Genomic DNA, 16,757 nt, shown 5'->3' with positions numbered 1-16,757 from the left:
TCTAACATTTAAGTCTTTAATCCATCTTGAATTAATTTTTGTATAAGGTGTAAGGAGGGGATCCAGTTTCAGCTTTCTACATATGGCTAGCCAGACAAAACTGTACTTTAAATTCAATTTTAGAGTTCTGTTTTATTTGACTGCTAGTTTTGCAAGGTGTCTTGTTTCGTAAATTCTTTGGAAATGTGTACTAATTCAGCTACATTACGTGTTGATCAGATGACTGGCCTAAGAAGGTAAACACTTTTACATTTGAATTCTAAGCCTTCGATCCTCTTGGAGCACAACTCCTCCACAGGCTGGTAACTCTTAGAGGAATATCAAAACCTTCTTTCCTTACTTAAACATGACATCGTTAACAGCAATCATAAGAAAAGAAAAACAAAACAGTATCCCCAAGAGATCTGACCTTGCATTTTATATTTTAAAGTAACTACATGGCAGACACAGCTGTTAAATCTCTTAATAGATGAAAATTATGTAAATATTTCTGGATCCCTATCATGGCTCACAAACATACATACATCTGCCTGTTTTTGAATGACCTAATGGCTCCATTTAGTAGTTCTAAAAACCAACCAGAGATTGATGAAAACTAAAAGCAACATAAGGAGACTTAACCAAAGGGTCCATCTGTAGGGAATATTACAGCCCCAAAGATGGAAAGGGCCAAATATGTCATTAGGGCCTCACACAGGGTATTTGCTAATATGCTCTGTGAAAGCAGAACTATCCTATTGTCTCAGCTCCTCAAATGATAGCCAAGACTTTGGAAAGAAGAAATGACAGTATCAGAGGTTATGGTCACAGAGGCAGTGGTGATCAGACATCACTCCTGTCCCCACCCCTAGCAGTCTAGCAGGGAGCAGAAAGGATAAATAAGTGAAGGAGGTGAGAAAGAATTTCAGAAACTGTTATGGTGGGGACTGAGAGGAACAACTGACATTGTTTTCATGAAGAGAGGGGCATGTCATTTACATTTCCACCTTATCCTTCTGCCAGCTAGTGGCCTTGGAAACCCTTGTGGCAGACACACTAAAAAGTGTGCTTCAGCTGGGCACAGTGGCTCACACCTGTAATCCTAGGGCTTTGGGAGGCAGAGATGGGAGGATCACTTGAGCCTAGGAGTTTGAGACCAGCCTGGGCAACACAGTGAGACCCTGTCTCTACAAAAATACAAAAATCAGCCAGGCATAGTGGTATGTGCCTGTAGTCCCAGATACTTGGGAGTCTGAGGCAGGAGGATCACCTGAGCTGGGGGAGGTTGAGGCTGTAGTGAGCCATGATCACAACACCGCACCCCAGCCTGGGCGCCAGAGTGAGATCCTGTCTAAAAAAATAAAGTGTGGTTCAAAGGCTTTGAAAGAATATACAAACTGGAGCAAAATACTTCTTTCTGTTTGTTAAGATTACAATGCAAAAAATACACATTTGTATGTAGCACTCAAACTTCTATTTACTCCCCTCACCCCCAGACAAACACAGATAATCCTGCTAGGAAATGGGCCAGTATCTCCATTCTGTAGATGTTTTCTGAGACCCCTTGGATTTCCCACAGTAACAGGGAGAGCCAACTCTCTGCAAGGCAGGCAGGTTGAACATGGTGGGGCAGCCTGATTGGGAGAAGGTTCTTCTGTATCTCCAGCCACAAATTGCCACTCTGTGGTCTCCACTGTGGTTTCACCTTCCAACACTAGACAGGTAACACACCTATCCCCCTCCCATAAAGTGGTCCTTTAAATAATTGAAAGCTGCCTCTGTGACTCCCAGTTTATACAGAAAATAAAGACTCAGACAGGCTAAGAACTTGTTTAAGACTCTAGAGTTGTTTAATGGTGAAGCCATGACTGGAGCCCCAGTATTCTGGCTCAGGTCCAGGGCTGTTCCCACCTCAACACAAGCCCTGGGATCCTGCAGCTCAAGTCAGAACCATATCCTCCCATGTGGGTTCAGGGCAGGGTCCATTTGACCATCTCTGGTTGGATGTGTAGCCATGAGAGGGATTTGGGCATGTGTCTGTGTGTGTAGACTTGGGCATATTAGATAGCTTTGGCCATGTCTGTCCTGCTCAAAATGTGTCCCTTTTCGCTGGAAGTTAATCTGCATCCAGGAACCACTATGGAACAATATGACCTCTGGCCATAGCTGATCTGACGAGAGTCTCTCTGATGTGGCTGGGCTGGTGACATGAAAACTTAGACACTATGGGGCAACCCTATTTGATTGACCTCATGGACCAGAAAGCAGAGGAAGCTAGGTGGAGGAAGAAATACAGAGGCGGACTATGGCAAGCAGTTTGGAGATTTCTCAAAGAACTTAAAACAGAGCTACCATTCGACCCAGCAATCCCATTTCTGGGTATCTACCCAAAGGAATATACATCATTCTACCATAAAGACACATGCACACATATGTTCATCACAGCACTGTTCACAACAGCAAAGACATGGAATCAACCCAAATGCCCATCAATGGTGGACATCAATGTGGTACATATACACCGTGGAATACAACACAGCCATAAAAAATAATGAGATCATGTCCTTTGCAGCAACATAGATAGAGCTGGAGGCTGTTGTCCTAAGTGAACTAACACAGGAACCAAAAACCAACACAACATGTTCTCATTTATAAGTGGGAGCTAAACACTGAGTATACCATGGACAAAAAGAAGGGAACAACAGACACCAGGGCTTACTTGAGGGTAGAAGGTGGGAAAAGGGTGAGGTCCAAAAAGTACCTTCAGGTACTATGCTTATTACCTGGGTGACAAAGTAATCTGTACACCAACCCCCCGTGACATGCAATTTACCCATATAAGAAATGCACACATATACCCCTTGAACCTGAAATGAAAGTTGGAAGAAAAAAGGAGGAAGAAATACAGAGGCAGGAGCTGGGAAGGAGAGAAGGAAAGAGAGATGGATGGATAGATGGATGGATGGATGGATGGATGGATGGATGGATGGATAGATGGATGGGGAAGATGGGAAGAGAGATGAAAGAGAGAAAAAAAATCTAGTGACTTTTTGACGCTTTCCTTAGGCCTAGTCACATTTCTGTTTTCGATTCTGTGGGGCACCCCTGTGCCCTTATAACAATTCCCTCCCCTTTTTCCTTGAGCTAGCTCATGCTGTCTCTATGCCTTAGAACCCCAGACTCCTAACTAATACATTTCTCATGTAACATGCAATGATAAGTCTGGTATTATTTTACCCTTCAAATCTGATTAGCTGCATGGGCAGTGGATGAATAAGAGAAGGGCATCCAGGTCTCAAAGGAAAAACATTAACTTATGAAAAACTGTTTTTTTCATTACAAAAAATTCCTTTGGTCCCAAAGTGCTTATTATAAGCAATGGAATCTGAGGCATTTGATGTTTTTGACACAAGAAGATCAGTTTACAAAGATCCCTAAGAGAATGGGCTCCCCATGAGGCAGAGTCACGTCCAGGGGGGAGATGAGGAGGAAGCAGGGCTGGAGCCTTGGGCAGCACAGGGCAGCTCCCTGTTTCATGGAGCCACCAGTCCCTTACTAGCCAGAGGACACAGGGGGAGCCACCTTGTCAATTTGCTGGGGTTCTATTAACACCCTCCATCCATCCCAGAGTATCTTTCATATGGTGATGTCTTGAAGGCAGAAACATGCCTTTCTCACCACTATATTCCCACCACTTCAAATATTCTCTAACACAGAACAGGTACATAATATTTGCTCAATGAATGCATGAATGGATACACCATGGACTCTGAGGGATTCTGAAATGAGGTAGACCCCAGTAGCTCAGTTACAAAGGCTCTATAGTGGAGGGTGGACATTCATTTGACTAGATAATATGAATGTGCTTTCAGTCAGCCATTCAAAGACAATTATTATTATTATTTTGTTGTTGTTGTTGTTGTTGTTTCATTATAATTTCAGTTCTAGGGTACATGTGTACAATGTGCAGGTTTGTTACATATGTATACATGCGCCATGTTGGTGTGCTGCACCCATTAACTCGTCAAAGACAATTATTAAGCACCTACTCTACAGACTGAGACATCAAGTGGCCTTGCTGTGGGTTGCACCTGGTCCCACCTGGCAGCTCACAAGGCTGCCACCTCCACTGACAGTGATAGAAGTTGGGAATGGAACCCATGCCTGGTATGGGGACAGGGGAGCACTTTCAAAATGACTGGAAATTGAGAAGACTAAAATAGATCTACTTATTAGACTGAAATCAGGATGCTGTGTTATATCTAGAAGTTCCTGGGCGTAGTTGGGTGCCCAGCTGGGAGAAGCTTCAGGCAGTAGACTCTAAAGTAAATGAATTCCAGCTTGCTGCACTAATTGAAATATCCAGGTGGCTTCCATGGCTGCCCCAGGACAGAAATGGTAATGAAAACCAGATCTACAAAGCCACCGGTATATGTTGTGCAAACTGCTGTTCAAAGGAAAAGGTCATATCCACTCCAGTGCCTCTAGTGACTTTTTGGTGCTTTCCTTAGGCTCCAGTCAACCCATGGATTCTCCCAACGACTACAACTGAAGGAGACATGGAGTTTCTGATGTATTGGGCATAAGATCTGCTCACAAGCCAGAACTCAGACGCCAAGGAAGCAGCTAACATCACCAGCCCCTGTGGCAAGTCACTGTGAGTGACTGGAGCTGGTGGCATCTTGAATAAGAAATGTTTGGGTCATCTCCTTTTAAGGTTCCAAGAAACTCTGAGATCTGTTGGCCCTGAACAATTTTATCTCCTTTGCCCAAGGGCCTTAAGCTAACAGTTGGCAGGAATGGGGCTGAGACTGAACCCTAGAACATTGCAATAAACTAACACAATGGACTGAGGTGACGGCATCTCACCACTGGAGCATCCCAGACAGACATACATGAGGGGACACACTGGGTGGATTTCCTCTCCAATTCTCTTTTGAGAATGTCTTCAGAGTAAATGTGCAACGAGACTGAGGATTCAGGTTACCACTGAAACTTCAATCACATTGGCATGTTTGCCTCCAGATGGCATAAATTAACTTTCAAAAATTAGATTTCAAAGAGTTCTAAGTCTGACTAACTTAATTTTTTAATTATATAAGTAATATATGAATCCAATTTTGATATTCAAATTCTAATAATACAGAAAAGACCATTGTTCCTTTTCCTCACCTCCTTTACATAAGGTATGTGTAAGTCTATTTTCTTCATGTCAGTACATACTGATCTATTTTACTACTTGTAACTGCTGCATCATATTCCATACTCCGAACATATCATATTTAACCATTTTCCTGTTTTCCTATTGAATTGTTCCCAATTTTTCATGATTATAAACACCTTCTGGTCCTTGTTTCTTTGTGCTCATGCTCTCACTTCAATTTTAACATTTTAAAAAGCTTATTTTATGATGAGTGGTGATCTCACAATGCCAAACAGATCATGACAGTTTATTTCAACTCAGGGTGGCTGATCTTTGTATATGCAGTGCTATGGAGAAAGGAAAAAGAGCTTAATACATATAATACACACACACACACACACACACACACACATACACACACACACATAATTAGGCCTTTATTTACGTGTGTGTGTGTTCAAACCCTTGGCAGAGCTCAATGATGTATGCAGAAGGAGCAGCCACTGAAATGTGTGTTGTCTTGCATCCTGTGCTTCTGGGGGGCCACTCTGTCCATGATAAGGTAAAAGAAAATGATAAGGTAAAAGACATAAATGGACATATAAGATCATATTGGCCACGTCAAAATCTCATTCCCTAACCTGAGAACCTAGAAAAGAGTTATTGCTCTTCCCAGGTCTCCCTGCCACATAAGCAGCTAATGAGGCATTATAGAAACTTGGCAAGTCCTTCCGGAATCAATTTGGGTCTTTCAACTTTGTTGCTCGCCCCCTATCTTCATTTCTCATCTGGATTACACGAATGTAAAAGCCTTTGTGAAATTTCCTTTAAGATGAATTTTTAAATGTATTCTATGTCTTGAATAAATTTAGTTATGATTGAATAACTCAGAATTAAACTATGTTGGATAGAATATTACAACCCAATGTCAATTTGCCATCACCTATATTGCTCTAAAATAATTTTTCTTATAAGATGCTCTGCAGGAGTTTTCACCTGTGGGGGAAGGAGTCAAATATTTCAGCATTACTAATTCATCTGTTCGCCTCTCACTTCTAAAGCAAAATGTATTTTTTCTCAAATTGGGACTCTGCAAAGGATTTTTTTCCAATGGAAAGATGCCTTCGTGTCATTCTTAGTTTCTCCTTTTGACTGGTTACAAAAATGAACTTGTAACCTACATGGTCATTTCTATGGCAACTGGATGTTCCAAGTGAAATACTGAATTTGGAGTTCTCTGAAGAACTAGAAAGAAGAGAGTCTGTGCCACAGACAACATAAAAGCTCAAGTTTTAATGATATTACCAGGCCTGTCAATGTAGGTGTTCACTGGTACCTAAGTCTTATTTCGAAAGTACAGTGAAATAAAGTGTCAAAACCATGCCAGGCACGCCCGTAGTCCCAACTACTCAAGAGAAACCCTTAATCCCAGGAGTTTGAGTTCAGCCTGGGCAACACAGTGAGACTCCATCTCTAAAAATAAAAAGTATACATGGCTTAGCATTTTTGAGGTTTTTCCTTAAAAAGCAAATTTAGCAGGTAGTATGTTTAATGAAAAGTTTTTATGTTTTTTACCTTCTTATCAATACAGATACAGAAGCATCATAAAACCAATGTTTAGCTAAATGAATTTTTATAAGGCAAACACCTTTGTAATCACCACCCAGTTAAAAATAAATAGAAATTGCTAGCCACTTCCAGAAGCCTCTCCATGTGCCCCACGCCAATTTTAATCCCTCTTCTTCCACTCAAAAATAACCACAGCTTCAGTTTCCATGTTATTGATACCCATAGCTCCTATGTTTATAAGATGCTATGATTCAGTCATTTTTTTCACCATTAAAAGATTATTTGTATTCAAGGGCTGACTTGTCAAAAAAAAAGAGATTGTGTAGCAAGTACATTTTTCGAAAGGCTTATTTATACCTTTTCTGTTTCGCTGCTACCCAGATATAATAAATACATTCATTAGCGTACACTATTTTTAAATACCTTGCCTCATTCCAAAAATATGTGCGGGGTTGAACACATGCTAAGAAATTCCCTCCACTAGGAGGCGCTACATCCCTTATGTCCTCAGACAGCTGGGAAGACTGCGCTTAATGTAACTCAGTTATCAGCGCATTTCTATGAATGAAGTCACAGAGGAACATGTGGGAGATCCACTTAACGACTTCTTTACCTTGCTGCATATCACAAAAAGGCTCACTGGTTGCCAGAAGTCCTGGTGAGTGGCAGGTTCCAAGAGTGAACTGATATTTCAACAACTACTTTTCCACTAACAACCTAAATCCATGAAATTGAGGGAGGGGGCCAGGAACATTTGGAACAAAGGGGCCCTGTTTCCAAGCGTAAATAAAATACAGCTGGTTTACAGCTGTGCTACCTTCCTCGCTGCAAGTCAAGTCATAAAACAGAATGAAACTTTCAGTAGTCACCGCTGTGAGGTTAGGGAATTCTGAGCATCCCTCTGGGCTCTAAGGTGACCAACTATTTGCTTTCTGAATTTCGTTTTTCAACCCATAGACACTGTATGGCTCATCAGAGAGGCAGATTTCCACTGCAAATTTACACAAGCCTAGACTGTCTATTTTTACACAATTGTTTGTTGTTTGCTTTTGTTTTTCAGATCAAAAAAATCTGAGGAATAGAGCTATGAAGACATCTGAACTCTAATTATAGGGGTTTGAATTTTTTAGATTAGACGTGCTACCCTTGTGACTCACAGTGATGTGCATTTCCCTGGTCTGATCATTAGCATACCAGGCAGGCTCAGATGCCCAGCATGTATCACAGATAGTAGGACATCATGCATATGCATGGGAAACTCCTAGCTCAAAATTGGCCTCTGATCAGACCAAAAGGCCAGTAACTGTGTCCAAGTAGCAACTCAACATCCACAAAGTGCCAACTGGAATGTTTTCCCATTTTAAGTGGGCACGGCAATCTAGACATTAACCAATAGACTTATAAGAATAGCTTGTATTGATTAAAGAAGCTTTATAATACATATTTTATTCCTATCATTTTATGTGCCTAAGATTTATTCCTTAAAATACTGATTCACTGATTTAGAAAACTCGGTAGGGGTAAATAAATCTGGTTGAATAAAGTTGAAAATAGACTACATCCTATAGTTTTTAAAAAAATATTAGAAGAGTATTTGTACCGCCTCCAGACAAACTGGTAGTTGTCCGTTGCATTTCAGACTCAATGAATATGGGCTCTTAAGCCAGATGGCATTAGGATCAGGAAGTGGGTTTGGCACTTTTCTTTCTCCTTCATGTCATTTCCAGACCATGACTCCTCTGCCCTCATGGAAAAAGTCTCATCTGTTCCCTTGTTCCCTCTCTCCTTAACTCTGTCCCCAGCTGATCTTCTGGTCACTTCCGTACATCCACTGATGACTTCATTCCTTGGCTCACAGGAGCTATATGAAATCCCACCATCATCCGGGGTGACTTCAGTGTTTGTGTTCATGACTCATTCAACCCTATTCCCACAGTTTCCTGAAAACCTCAACTCTGATGACCTTGATCTTCACTCTCCTCAACGATCTGCACTCAGGGCTGAAATCTGGCCTCATCACTAAATGTGGAACTGTTTAGGTGCAGCGGCCCAGACTCCAACCACAGCCTCGCCTCTTTCCCTGTCTCTCACTGGCTTGTCCTCACACCTCTGCTCTTGGGTCTTTTCAAATCTTCTAATCTCCAGCTTCCTCTATCTTATCCCAGTCCATCATAGCCCTCCTGTCTTCATTTTTATGTCTTTTCGCCTAAGATCATGTGAACAATCCATTCCAATCACTGCACTGTCTTCCTATATCCTCAACAATCTTGCCTCCTCGTCCTTTGGCTACATCCAGGTATCTGGCAAAAATCCCAAATGAGAGCTAAGCACAGTCTCATTTCCCAAGATCAAACACCTACATAAGGTGCCCTGGAGTGTAGGAGAACGACACTACAAATCTGTGGTCTCCAACCTTATCTGAGCTCTCAACACTGTCCAGGGATCTTTGTACATGTTCCTTGTCAACTCTCTAGCTTCAGTTAAAGATACTTTCTCCCCAGGACAAGCCCATACTTAGCATAAATAGAACATCAATATCTTTTTTGTTTGTACATAAAAAGGCTAATAACCAGTACCTTGAATTCCATCATGCCCTGACCTCTCAGGGACCCCATACCATCATTTATCCTCCACTCACCTGCATTTCACCTCTTTCACTATTTTCTCCTAACTCCTTCACCTAAGAATTTAGACTTCCTCTTCTTAAAACAATCCATGCAAATCCTATGCCCTCTCTAGCTAAGACTTACTTCTCTTCTTTCCTTCACAGCCACACCACTTAGGGAGACAAAGACTTCATTTAATCCCCAACTTCCTCTCAGCTGAACTCCACACTCCACAACCTCACTGAACCTGCTTTTCCATTCTTGTGAGGGCCACCAGTTACCTTCTAGTTGGTATGTTCAATGGACACTTTTTAGAATGTGTACCATTGCCTGTCAGTGGCATTTGGCACCATGCATCACTCCCTCCTTCCTGGAAAGTTCTTTCATCTTCACCTACCCCCCTGTTTCTGTCTACCCTGACTCCCCTTCTGCTTCCCTGGCTTCCCTCAGCACAGTGAGTCACCAGGTTGACCTTATATTTTGCATTCTTTCCCTGGATAGCCTCATTCACATCCATGGCTAAAGTTACTATTTGATGCAGATTTACTGAAGTCCCCAAAACCAGATCTCCTTCCTGAATTCCATACCTACATGTTATTTCCTATCAGGCATCTCACATGTATATTCCGAAGGTATTATGATCTCAACATGTCCAAAATAAACTCATCACTTTTCCCCAAAATATGTCCCTCTTTCCATGTTCAACATCAACCATCCCCTTGTCTATGCTGGAAACATGGCTATCAACTTTATTTCTCCATACCTCTCACCCTTTACTCAATCAGTACCAAGTTCCAGCAATTCAACCACATAACTATCAAATCCATGCCTTCTTCACCATCTCCACAGCCACTCTCTCATGTCAGTCTATCCCTATTTCATTCTTGGATCAGTATCAAGATAGCCACCTCTGAGTGGTCTTACTGCCCACTCCCCATCCCTCCCAATTCAAATTACTTCATATACTACAGTGGAGTACTCTCTCAAAAATGCATATCCAACTAGATCACTTCCTGAGAGATTCCCATGACCCACAGGATAAAATCCAAACTCTACCTAAAATGGCATACAAGACAGTCCATCTCTCCATCATTCTTTCTCACCATTCTCACCATTATCTCAAACCTTCCAATCCAGTTACAGGGAACTGCTTATGCAATGATATAGCTTAATGGTTGATAGATGAGTCTTGGTGTCAGATATACATGTGTTCAAAATTAAATTGCCACTTACTGGTTTGTGATCATGGACAAGTTACTTCTGAGAGCACCACATGCTTCTCTATCAGAGTACTTATTGTCCCACACCACCTTCTAAATCCTCCGTACTAGCCCATCTTTTCCACTGCACTGTCCTTGAATCCCTAGCACACAGAAGGCCATCAACACTTATTCTGCATATGAGTGAATCAGGAGAATGAATGGATTCTCCCAGTGACAGGAGGCTCACTTCCTCTGAGGTCTAAATATGGCATCTTTGCATCTGTTTGTTACAGAGTTCTTCAGATTCATCATCCAGATTCTTAGAATCCTGCCACAATCGTTCAGGCTCATATAGTATGTCTCGCCCTGTACTTTGATGGCTCTAGATTTTCTTCAGGTGAAAACTATATCATTGACACTTGTGCATTAAGTATATATTTAAAAGCAGGTGCATTTCCATTTCCATGTATCTACCGATAAGAAAGTATAGCCCTGCAATAGAACCATGCAGACGTTAGATGATGGTACAAGTGTGCACTATGTGCCTTCTTTTGTGTGGCATTTGCTTACCCACTGTGTCCCAATGTGAAACTGGGAGCTTCATTCTCATCAAGGGCATTACAAACCTTCACTGCAAACGGTAGTGGGAGCTGGAGAATGAGTCAAGTCAGCTCAGCAGTGGTATTTGCACAAATTCAAAGGGCCAAAGGTAGGGTCAAAGTCAACTGCAGGGCCAGGAGTCCAGAATGTGGGAGTGATAAGTGCCAAAAGAGCACATGCGAACCAGCAAGAAGGATGCTGGGAACCAGCAAGAAGGATGAACCATCCTGTGGTCACCACGGCTGACTATGATCAGTTAGGGTGCAGGGCGTGGTGTGTTACACTGCCTTGTAGACCCTACGTAGGACAGACGAGTAGAGTTGGGTTCCTGGTTCTACCTAGGAGTTATCGGCTTCTTGAAAAGTCCAGGACAACACGAGTTAGGCTCTTAGTTCTTCCTAAGAGTTATGGGCTTCTTGAGAAGTCTAGGATGGCTGGGAGCAGCTCCCATAGTTATGGGCCAGTCTAAATGCAGGCCCCTAAACCTGCAGCACAGACAGAAAAGAGCCATCAAGGTTCTACTTCAAGACCCATGCTCTGGGTCTTCCAAGTCAAGACCCATAACAAGCCCTATCTTCTTACCATTTCTCATCCCTACCTCCTTAAAGGGAGGGCAGAAAATGGGAAAAATGCTGACGTCATGGTGTTAGACATTAAAAAGCGGCAGCTTCAGCAAAAAGCCAAGCATTTATTAACTAAGAGATGAACAACGCAACCAGAGGCCGTTACAGATTGTTGGCAACTGGAGTTTAAATCTGACCACTTATTCTATAGATGTGATTTAGACATCTCATCAGCTTCTGAATTAAATGAGTCCCAATTCATTAGGGCAAGCTGAGAAATGGGCAATCTTTTAATGTTGTGTAGCTCTCTCAGCTCTTGACAAATCAAGCCTCAGCAGCCACACAGTGGTTTTCCTTTCACTTCCTGTGGGAAAACTGGGGTAATCTAGGTCATTGATAGTCTGCCACTTGATTTACAGCAATGACCAATTTCTAACTTGGCTTTATCTGATCTGCTCTGGAAATGTTTTCAGCTGCTATGGGCAGTCTTGTTAAATTGTGCAGACCTGCAATCATTTTTAAAAATCACTCAACCATCAAAGATTTGATTTGGTCTGCTTAATCTGTGCTGACCTCACTTCATTTTGCAAGGCCAAGACCTCTGTAACCCAACCTACTGCTGAAGGCTTCCAGCAGTGTCTTTTATTGCATTTTCCCAAGCACTTCCCTACCTCTTATCTTATGCTACTGAGAGAACAGGTACTGCCCCTTCCATATCAAGGATGAGGTGACTCAAACATGGGAAGATCACGGAGCAAGGCAGTGATGCTGCTGGATCAGAATCAGGACTAATGGCCTGGTACAGTCTCATGCCACCTTATGACACTAATGCAACATGCGCACCTGCCCTAGGGAAGAATAAAGCTGGCAAGGCCAAGAGAAGGACCTGTGGTTTCCATTTGCACTGTCCTGATTTATGTTAAGTCTAGACAATGAGGTGAGGGATGAAATAAACATGGATTTTGCCAAAGTGAAATAAACGGTGTGCTGGCATTTAGGCCTTCCATCTGCACTGTGGGAAGAGAGCAGATGTTCCTCATCAGCCGCGCCTTGCTTCTTCTGCCCCTTCCTTTCCCAAATTGTGCCGCTGGATGGGTCAGTACCCCCACCCTCAGGCTCACTCCTATCCAATGCCTGAGCCAGCCCAGACTGTGGTGCAAAGAGTTTGCCCAGCAAAGAGACCAACCCAGGTTCTTCCCTTTCATCTGGGCTACTTCTGCTGCCTCTCCAATCTCACAAACAACCCTGACCCCGAGATCCAGACCCAGCAACTCAGGAGCAGGGCTTTGGGCTCCATGTTGTCCCTCCCTCATGGTTCTGTCTGTAAGCTGCCTCCTCCCTTCTCCCTTCTCAGAGGAGTATTCACCCATGGCAAGATGTCCCCAACTCCTGCCAATTCTCCTTTCCTGGATGGGACAGATCCTGGCTTCAGATGGCCAGCTGCCCTCTCCCTGTTGGCAGTTTCTGCCCCTATGACCAGAAACCTCATGGGTCAACAGTTCTATTATTGTGACCGAGACTGTGGCTCTGTTAGCCAGTGGCACCAGCTGCATATTCAAGTCCAGCCTTTGGGGCAGGGCCAGTGACCCCTGGTTCACATGTGGCCTCCCTGTCCCTTCTGCCAACAGCACTGGGATTCATCTACAGTGCCTTATATTTGGTTTCTTTCAGGTATACCATGACTTGCTTTAAGAAAATACAATATACCTGGGTACAGTGGCTCATGCCTATAATCTCAGCTATTTGGGAGGCTGAGGTAGGAGGATGGCTTGAGGCCAGGAGTTTGAGACCAGCTTCAGCAACATAGCAAGCCACCGTCTCTAAAATAATTTTTTTTAATTAGCCAGGCATGGTGGCACACACCTGTAGTCACAGCTACTTAGTTGGCTGAGGCAGGAGGATTGCTTGAGCCCAGGACTTCAAGGCTGCAGTGAGCTATGATCATGGTACTGCATTCCAGCCTGGACAACAGAGCAAGACTCCATCTCTAAAAACATAAAGAAAAAGAATATAATAAAAACAGCAACACAGCAGATAATTATTACTATTATATAGGATATTTAACATATAAAAATGTACTATTTTTTTTAACATACTAACTTTCCACCATGCATTAGAAATGTGATTGAATTTATAATAAGGAGTCCAGTTTGTTAAGTCAAATAAAGCATAGCACTCTTTCTACCACCCCTTCACTGCCCCGCACCCACCTCATGTCCCTCTCTGACCAGCTTTCAGATTCTATGATCAATAACCATCATCATACCCACAGTCCACACCCTCAATTCCCTTGCACCCCTCTCTCTCTGTCATACTCAGCTGGCAAAAGCCCAACTCAGATTAAATCCAATACTTTGCCTACCTGTACTTGCACCTATTGAGTTGAAAACACTGGAGACACACCCAAGACCTGATTTCTACTGTCTGCTCTTATTTAAATTCAAGATCCCTAATCACAGGGGAGCCGTTGGAGGTATCCAGAAATCTGACTGCATTGCCTTAGATCAATTACTCCTGAACTGTCTGAGAGGATTATTTCACACCTTCTCTTCTCTCCTCAAATTTCCAACACCTCTTCCCCCTTCCTCCCTGCCAGCTGATGACCTTGCTTCCCATTTCACTGAGAAAACGGAAGCAGTCAGAAGGTTCATCCACAGACCAAGCCACCACAGGCTCCCGCACACCTGCACTCATTCTGTGGGCTCTGCTATCACTCCTGCACAAGAACAGCCTCTCTATTTGTGCACTCGATGCCTTCCTCATTTCCCAACTCAAGTGCTTCCTTCTAGCAGTTGTCTCATCTCTCTCCTCCCTCATCAATGTTTCTCAGGCTCTAGATCATTCTCTGCAGCCCTCAAACATACTGTCATATCTCTAAAAGTATCCCCTTCCAAGCCCACAATCTCCCTCATCTACTACTCCATTTTCTATTCCTCTTTACAGCAAAACTCCTTGAAGGAGTCAACACTCCTGCTGCCTCATCTCATTCTCACTTAAATCCAGACCTCCCAGTGTTCACCTCCACCTCTCCATCTAAACAGCTCCAGTTCAGGGCACCAGTAACCTCCTTGCTACTAAATCCAGTGGACAATCCTCTGGCCTCAGATTTCGTGGCATATCAGCAGCTTTTCATAAGGATGGTCACTGCCCCTTTCTAGAAATACTTTCTTAAATTCTAGGTCCCTAGTTCTCTTAGTCCTCTCCTAATTCACTGGCCAGCCCTTCTTATTTTCATTTCCTAGTGCCTCACCATCTCCTGTAACAGTCCAGAGCTCTATTCTCAGACCTCTTCTCTACCTACCTTAACTCCCATGGTGATTTCATCCAACCTCCTAGCTTGAAGTACCATCTAAACATTGATGATTCCCATCTTTATACAGCCAGCCCAGACGTCTCTTTTGAATTCTAGACTCCTAAATTTATCTGCATGCTATGGACTGAATGTTTATGACCTCCCCACCACCACCAGCCAAATTTATATGTTGAAAACCTAATTATCAATGTGATTATATTAGGTAGGGCCTTCGGGGGTGTATTAGTTCATTCTCCCACTGCTGATAAAGACATAGCTGACTGGGTAATTTAAAAAGGAAAGAGGTTTAATTGACTCACAGTTCCACATGGCTGGGGAGGCCTCACAATCCTGGCAGAAGGGGAAGCAAACATGTCCTTCTTCATATGGCGGCAGGAAGAAGTGCCCAGCAAAAAGAGGACAAGCCCCTTATAAAACCAACTCACTCACTATAATGAGAACAGCAACATGGGGTAACCACCCCTGTGATTCAGTCATCTCCCACATGATCCCACACAGGGATTATGGGAACTACAATTCAAGATGAGATTTAGGTGGGGACACAGCCAAACCATATCAGTCCACTCCTGGCCTCTCCCAAATCTCAGGTCCTCACATGTCAAAGCACAAACATGCCTTCCCAATAGTCCCCCAAAGTCTTAACTCATTTCAGCATTAACTCAAAAGTCCACAGTCCAAAGTCTCATCTGAGACAAGGCAAGTCCCTTCCACCTATGAACCTGTAAAATCAAAAGCAAGTTAGTTATTTCCTAGATACAATGGGGGTACAGGCATTAGGTAAATATACCCATTCCAAATGGGAGAAATTGGCCAAAACCAAGGGGCTACAGGCTCCATGCAAGTCCAAAATCTAGTGGACAGTCATTAAACCTTAAAGTTCCAAAATTATCTCCTTGATCTCCATGTCTCACATCCAGGTCACGCTGATGCAAGAGGTGGGTTCCCATGGCCTTGGGCAGCTCTGCTCCTTTGGCTTTGCAGGGTAAAGCTCCCCTCCCAGTTGCTTTCATGGACTAGCATTGAAAGTCTGTGGCATTTCTAGTTGCACGATGAAAGCTGTCAGTAGATCTACCATTCTGGAGTCTGGAGAGCAATGGCCTTCTTCTCACAGCTCCACTAGGCAGTGCCCTAGTGGGGACACTGTGTGGAGGCTACAATCCCACATTTCCTTTCCACACTGCCCTAGCAGAGGTTCTCCATGAGGGCCCCACCCCTGCAGCACACCTCTACCTGCACATCCAGGCATTTCCATACATACTCTGAAATCCAGGGGGAGGTTCCCAAACCTCAATTCTTGACTTCTGTGCACCTGCAGGCTCAACACCATGTGGAAGCCTCCAAGGCTTGGGGCTTGCACCCTCTGAAGCAATGGCCTGAACTCTACATTGGCCTCTTTTAGCCATGGCTGGGACACAGGGCACCAAGTCTCAAGACTGCACAAAGCAGCAAGGCCCTGGGCCCAGCCCAAAAAAACACCTTTTCCTCATAGGCCCTCTGGGCCTGTGATTGGAGGGGCTGCCATGAAGACCTCTGACATGCCGTGGAGATATTTTCCCCATTGTTTTGGTGATTAACATTTGGCTTTCTTGTTACTTATGCAAATTTCTGCAGCTGGCTTGAATTTCTCTTCAGAAAATGAGATTTTCTTTTCTATCGCAACATCAGGCTTTAAATTTTTTGAACTTTTATGCTCTGCTTCCCTTTTAAAGATAAGTTATAATTCCAAACCATATATTTGTGAATATATAAAACTGAATGCATTTAACAGCACCCAAGTCACCT

The 16,757-nt window shown here is 43.3% G+C and overlaps 1 protein-coding gene across 14 annotated transcripts in view, besides 2 other annotated features; it reads right to left on the bottom strand.

The window, feature by feature from the left end:
- The window catches only part of PALM2AKAP2 (PALM2 and AKAP2 fusion), a 531,726-nt gene that overhangs the window by 347,273 nt on the left and 167,696 nt on the right, over positions 1-16,757 (bottom strand). The gene's annotated exons all lie outside the window — the stretch shown is intronic.
- Positions 7,843-9,042: an enhancer, noted in NCBI's record as "CDK7 strongly-dependent group 2 enhancer chr9:112578478-112579677 (GRCh37/hg19 assembly coordinates)". NCBI's record gives its function as "activates an origin of replication core promoter dependent on BRD2, BRD4, P300/CBP, MED14 and CDK7 cofactors, with strong dependence on CDK7, by STARR-seq in HCT116 cells {active_cell/tissue: HCT116}" and the evidence as "EXISTENCE:reporter gene assay evidence [ECO:0000049][PMID:35650434]".
- Positions 11,037-11,331: an enhancer, noted in NCBI's record as "tiled region #11524; HepG2 Activating DNase matched - State 13:Ctcf". NCBI's record gives its function as "activates a minimal TATA promoter and a strong SV40 promoter by Sharpr-MPRA in HepG2 cells {active_cell/tissue: HepG2}" and the evidence as "EXISTENCE:reporter gene assay evidence [ECO:0000049][PMID:27701403]".

Source organism: Homo sapiens, chromosome 9 (assembly GCF_000001405.40).
Source record: "Homo sapiens chromosome 9, GRCh38.p14 Primary Assembly".
Taxonomy (NCBI): Eukaryota; Metazoa; Chordata; class Mammalia; order Primates; family Hominidae; genus Homo; species Homo sapiens.
Note: the sequence above shows the minus strand (reverse complement) of the source record. Positions and strands in the feature narration are given on the sequence as shown.